The sequence below is a fragment of the Homo sapiens genome, chromosome 6 (assembly GCF_000001405.40).
Source record: "Homo sapiens chromosome 6, GRCh38.p14 Primary Assembly".
Lineage (NCBI taxonomy): Eukaryota > Metazoa > Chordata > Mammalia > Primates > Hominidae > Homo > Homo sapiens.
This window is the reverse complement of record NC_000006.12, coordinates 118419086-118426174: the sequence shown is the minus strand read 5'-3', so window position 1 is coordinate 118426174 and position 7089 is coordinate 118419086.

Genomic DNA, 7089 nt, shown 5'->3' with positions numbered 1-7089 from the left:
GTCAATTTTCGCTTTTATTGCCATTGCTTTTGGTGTTTTAGTCATGAAGTCTTTGCCCATGCCTATGTCCTGAATGGTATTGCCTAGATTTTCTTCTAGGATTTTTATGGTTTTAGGTCTTATGTTTAAGTCTTTAATCCATCTTGAGTTAATTTTTGTAGAAGGTGTAAGAAAGGGATCCAGTTCCAGTTTTCTACACATGGCCTGTCAGTTTTCCCAACACCATTTATTAAATAGGGAATCCTTTCCCCATTGCTTGTTTTTTGTCAGGTTTGTCAAACATCAGATGGTTGTAGATGTGTGATGTTATTTCTGAGGCCTCTGTTCTGTTCCTTTGGTCTATATATCTGTTTTGGTACCATTACCATGCTGTTTTGTTACTGTAGCCTTGTAGTATAGTTTGAAGTCAGGTAGCATGATGCCTCCAGCTTTGTTCTTTTTGCTTAAGATTGCCTTGGCTATGCAGGCTATTTTTTGGTTCCATATGAAATTTAAAGTAGTCTTTTTTCCAATTCTGTGAAGAAAGTCAATGGTAGCTTGATGGGAATAGCGTTGAATCTACAAATTACTTTGGGCAGTGTGGCCACTTTCACAATACTGATTCTTCCTATCCATGAGCATGGAATGTTCTTTCATTTGTTTATGTCCTCTTTTATTTCATTGAGCAGTAGTTTGTAGTTCTCTTTAAGAGGTCCTTCACATCCCTTGTAAGTTGGATTCCTAGGTATTTTATTCTCTTTGTAGTTATTGTGAATGGGAATTCACTTGTGATTTGGTTCTCTGTTTGTCTGTTGTTGGTGTATAGGAATGCTTGTGATTTTTGCACATTGATTTTGTATCCTGAGACTTTGCTGAAGTTGCATATGAGCTTGAGATTTTTGGCTGAGATGATGGGGTTTTCTAAATATACAATCATGTCATCTGTAAACAGGGACAATTTGACTTCCTCTTTTCCTATTTAAATACCCTTTATTTCTTTCTCTTGCCTGATTGCCCTGGCCAGAAGTTCCAATACTATGTTGAATAAGAGTGGTGAGAGAGGGCATTTTTGTCTTGTGATGGTTTTCAAAGGGAATGCTTCCAGTTTTCGCCTATTCAGTATGATATTGGCTGTGGGTTTGTCATAAATAGTTCTTATTATTGGAGATACATTCCATCAATACCTAGTTTATTGAGAGTTTTTAGCATGAAAGGCTGTTGAATTTTATTGAAGGTCTTTTCTGCATCTATTGAGATAATCATGTGGTTTTTTTGGTTGGTTCTGTTTATGTGATGGATTACATTTTTTGATTTATGTATGTTGAACCAGCCTTGCATCCCACAGATGAAGCCCACTTGATCATTGTGGATAACCTTTTTGATGTGCTGCTGGATTTGGTTTGCCAGTATTTTATTGAGGATTTTCGCATCGATGTTCATCAGGGACATTGGTCTGAAATTCTCTTTTTTCTGTGTGTCTCTGCCAGGCTTTGGTATCAGGCTGATGCTGGCCTCATATAATGAGTTAGGGAGGATTCCCTCTCTTTCTATTGATTGGAATAGTTTCAGAAGCAATGGTACCAGATCCTCTTTGCACCTCTGTTAGAATTCGGCTGTGAATCTGTCTAGTCCTGGACATTTTTTGGTTGTTAGGCTATTAATTATTGCCTCAATTTCAGAACCTGTTACTGGTCTATTCAGAGATTCAACTTCTTCCTGGTTTAGTGTTGGGAGGGTGTATGTGTCCAGGAATTTATCCATTTCTTCTAGATTTTCTAGTTTATTTGCATAGAGGTGTTTATAGTATTCTCTGATGGTAGTTTTTCTGTGGGATCAGTGGTGATATCCCCTTTATCATTTTTTTATTGCATCTATTTGATTCTTCTCTCTTTTCTTCTTTATTAGGCTTGCTAGTGGTCTGTTTTGTTGATCTTTTCAGAAAACAAGCTGCTGGATTCTTTGACTTTTTGAAGGGTTTTTTTGTGTTTCTACCTGCTTCAGTTCTGCTCTGATCTTAGTTATTTCTTGTCTTCTGCTAGCTTTTGAATTTGTTTGCTCCTGCTTCTCTAGTTCTTTTAATTGTGATGTTAGGGTGTCGATTTTAGATCTTTCCTGCTTTCTCTTGTAGGCATTTAGTGCTATAAATTTCCCACTACACACTGCTTTAAATGTGTCCCAGAGATTCTGGTACGTTGTGTCTTTGTTCTCATTGGTTTCAAAGAACGTCTTTATTTCTGCCTCAGTTTTGTTATTTACCTAGTAGTTCAATCTTCAGGAGCAGGTTGTTCAGTTTCCATGTAGTTGTGCAGTTTTGAGTGCGTTTCTTAATCCTGCGTTCTAATTTGATGGCACTGTGGTCTGAGAGACTGTTTGTTGTGATTTCTGTTCTTTTACATTTGCTGAGGAGTGTTTACTTCCAATTATGTGGTCAGTTTTAGAATAAGCATGATGTGTTGCTGAGAAGAATGTATATTCTGTTGATTTGGGGTGGAGAGTTCTGTAGATGTCTATTAGGTTCTCTTGATCCAGAGGTGAGTTCAATCCTGGATATCTTTGCTAATTTTCTGTCTCGTTGATCTGTCTAATATTGACAGTGGGGTGTTAAAGTCTCCCACTATTATTGTGTGGGAGTCTAAGTCTCTTTGTAGGTCTCTAAGCACTTGCTTTATGAATCTGGGTGCTCCTGTATTGGGTGCATGTATATTTAGGATAGTTAGCTCTTCTTGCTGCATTGATCCCTTTACCATTATGTCATGAACCTTTCTTTGTCTCCTCTGATCTTTGTTGTCTTAAAGTCTGTTTTATCAGACAGCAGGATTGCAACCCCTGCTTTTTTTTGCTTTTCATTTGCTTGGCAGATCTTCCTCCATCCCTTTATTTTGAGCCTATGTGTGCCTTTGCACGTGAGATGGGTCTCCTGAATACAGCACACTGATTGATCTTGACTCTTTTTCCAATTTGCCAGTCTGTGTCTTTTAATTGGGGAATTAGCCCATTTACATTTAAGGTTAATATTGTTATGTGTGAATTTGATCCTGTCATTATGATGCTAGCTGGTTATTTTGCCCATTAATTGATGCAGTTTCTTCATAGCATCGATGGTCTTTACAATTTGGCGTGTTTTTGCGGTGGCTGGTACTGGTTGTTCCTTTCCATATTATGGGCTTCCTTCAGGAGCTCTTGTAAGGCAGGTCTGGTGGTGACAAAATCTCTCAGCATTTGCTTGTCTGTAAAGGGTTTTATTTCTCCTTCACTTATGAAGCTTAGTTTGGTTGGATATGAAATTCTGGGTTGAAGATTCTTTTCTTTAAGAATGTTGAATATTGACCCCCACTCTCTTCTGGCTTGTAGGATTTCTGCTGAGAGATCTGCTGTTAGTCTGATGGGCTTCACTTTGTGGGTAACCCGACCCTTCTCTCTGGCTGCCCTTAACATTTTTTCCTTCATTTCAACCTTGGTGAATCTGGCAATTATGTGTCTTATGGTTGCTCTTTTTGAGGAATGTCTTTGCGGTGTTCTCTGTATTTCCTGAATTTGGATTTTGGCATGCCCTGCTAGGTTGGGGAAGTTCTTCTGGATAATATCCTGAAGAGTGTTTTCTAACTTGGTTCCATTCTCCCTGTCACTTTCAGGTACACCAATCAAACGTAGCTTTGGCCTTTTCACATTGTCCCATATTTCTTGGAGGCTTTGTTCATTTCTTTGCACTCTTTTTTCTCTAATCTTGTCTTCTGATTTTATTTCATTAATTTGATATTCAATCACTGATATCCTTTCTTCCACTTGATTGAATCAGCTATTGAAGCTTGTGTATGCTTCATGAAGTTCTCGTACTGTGGTTTTCAGCTCCATCAGGTCATTTAAGCTCTTCTCTACACTGATTATTCTAGTTCACCATTCATCTAACATTTTTCTAGGTTTTTAGCTTCCTTGCAATGGGTTAGAATGTGCTCCTTTAGCTCAGAGAAGTTTGTTATTACTGAACTTCTGAAGCCTACTTCTGTCAACTTGTCAAACTCATTCTCCACTCAGTTTTGTCCCCTTGCTGGTGAGGAGTTTTGTTCCTTTGGAGGAGAAGAGGTGTTCTGGTTTTTGGAATTTTTAGCCTTTCTGCTCTGGTTTCTCTCCATCTTTGTGGTTTTATCTACCTTTGGTCTTTGATGTTGGTGACCTATGGATGGGGTTTTGGCGTGGATGTCCTTTTTGTTGATGTTGATGCTGTTCCTTTCTGTTAGTTAGTTTTCCTTCTAACAGACAGGCCCCTCAGCTGCAGGTCTGTTGGAGTTTGCTGGAGGTCCACTCCAGTCCCTGTTTGCCTGGGTATCACTGGTAAAGGCTGCAGAACAGCAAATATTGCTGCCTGATCCTTCCCCTGGAAGCTTTGTCCCAGAAGGGCACCCACCTCTATGAGGTGTTTGTCAGCCCCTACTGGCAGGTGTCTCCCAGTCAGGCTACACTGGGGTCAGGGACCCATTTGAGGAGGGATTCTGTCAGTTATCAGAGCTCGAAAGCCATGCTGGGAGAACCACTGCTGTCTTCAGAGCTGTCAGGCAGGGACATTTAAGTCTGCAGAAGCTGTCTGCTGCCTTTTGTTCAGATATGCCCTGCCCCCAGAGGTGGAATCTATAGAGGCAGTAGGCCTTGCTGAGCTGCGGTGGGCTCCACCCAATTCAAGCTTCCCTGCCTCTTTGTTTACACTGTGAGCATAGAACCGCCTACTCAAGCCTCAGCAATGGTGGATACCCCTCCCCTCACTAAGCTCCAGCATCCCAGGTCAATCTCAGTCTGCTGCGCTGGCAGTGAGCAAGGCTCCATGGACGTGTGAACTGCCTAGCCAAGCATGGGAGGGAATCTCCTGGTCTGCCAGTTGTGAAGACCATGGTAAAAGCATGGTATTTGGGCAGGAGTGTACCATTCCTCCAAGTACAGTCACTCATGGCTTCCTTTGGCTAGCAAAGGGAAATCTCCCAACCCCTTGCACTTCCCAGGTGAAGTGATGCCCTGCCCTGCTTTGGCTCACCCTCCTTGGGATGCACCCACTGTCCAACCAGTCCCAATGAGATGAACCAGGTACCTCAGTTGGAAATGCAGAGATCACCCATCTTCTGTGTCAATTTCACTGGGAGTTGTAGACCGGAGCTGTTCCTATTTGGCCATCTTGGAAGTGACCTCTTTTTTCTTCTTTATTAGTCTGGCTAGTGGCCTAGCTATTTTGTTAATATTTTCAAAAAACCAGCTCCTGGATTCATTGATTTTTTGAAGGGTTTTCCATGTCTCTATCTCCTTCAGTTCTGCTCTGATCTTAGTTATTTATTTCTTCCGCTAGCTTTTGAATTTATTTGCTCTTTCTTCTCTAGTTCTTCTAATTGTGATGTACATATACTTTCTATTGTGGATGAGATAGCTTAGAAAAGAGAATTAAAGTGCAGTTCAGGCTTTGACAGAAGAAAATGGGTAGAAGGGAGAGTATTCCGGGCACCAAGATTTTCCCAGACATGAGGCAATAGAGGTCATGTATGCACTAACAGTTCAGTTTGGCAGGAGATGAAGAAATCAGGGTAGATTATGGAGTTCAGGTTACGTCTTGGAGAACGTTAACTCTAAACAAAGAATAGGAAATCACCGAACTTGTATAATCTTTAAATCCTCCCAAATTATTTTTTCTAAAGCCAAACTTTGTCTTACTTCCTTGGCTCATAGTTTGACAAAGGGAATTGCTTTTTTCTTCTCTGTGTAATTGGTTTCTCTTTTCTAATTACTCTTCCACACATCTACCAGCCATTTGAAACTCCACTTGGTCATGTTGCCTACTGCTTTGAAAATTCTGAGAATATAAAATAGAAGAAAAAGGCAAAGCTGCTTAGCCTGACATTTGATGCTCTCTACAATCTCACTCTGACTTTCCTGTTCAGTTTTATTCTCTGTGAAGTGCTCCAGATCTTTCTGCCCCTGCCTAGCTAGATAATTCACTGCTTTATGGTAGGTTAAGTGCATTTCTGTCTCATGGCCAGAAACCCAACTGTAATGCAATTTTCCTTCTCCCCAAATCCATGAGTCTCATCTTCCTTCTGCATCCAGCCCACATCCAGCTCCTCTAAGATTTCCCTAACCCAACCAGTGATAAACATCAGCTACTGTTCATTTCCCAATATCCTTTGCAGTTTTGTCAAACACTGATTCAGTGACTTACACATTCTTTGGTTCTGCTGAAATTCATAGGATGCCTGCTATGTGTCTGGTGCTAGGAAGATAAATGTCTCAGTCCCACCACTGTTGATAATTTAGTGAGGGAGATAGACAATCACAGTTACAATAGAATGTGAGAGATGCAATAATAGCAGTAAAACTGAGTAACTTGAAAGCACCTAGCACAAATTGGAAATAGAGAGGAAGGGGAGGGAGGGAGAGAGAGAGAGAGAGAAGGCTTCCTGGTAGCAGTGATTTTTCAGCTAAGCTTTAAAGGATGAGTTGTAGTAACAAAGTGATGCTGCAATGTGGGAAGGATCAGTATGTGAGAGAGTGGCTAATTTGAAGGAGCATAAAAGCTAACTCAGCAGATATTTGTTACTAATGATGCTTGTGGAAATGTCCATGCTTTTATGAACAATTTTTCTTCAGTTCAAGTGAGGGACAGGTGCATCATCTATCACTTTTTGTCACTAATCAGTTCCAGTTATGCCAAGCTGACAATTGGAAAAATGTTTTTAAAATCAGCAAATATTAAAATTATTCCAAGTAACAAGCTCTTTCAAAGGGCGACCTGTGTCTTTTCTTCACTAAACTACAGATGATTATGATGATGAGTTACTGCTGACTTTTTACCCCTCTTCAATCAATAACTGGAACCGTTATAAAAAAAAAAACACATTCATTCAGCAAATATTTATTGAGTGCTGTATCAGACTCCTTTTATGCACCACTGCAGGTCCTCTCCTCCTCACCTGTCTCTGTGTGTGCTCCTACCAGCTTCCTCCAGGGGCAACTATCCCACACTGAGCTACTTGCTCCTTTTCTGTTGACCACAAGGAAGGAGGTTCTGGGGGTCCCTGTACAGCACCCATGCATACACAGCTCAAAAAGGCAAGGGAGTACAAGGGAAATGGGGCTAGT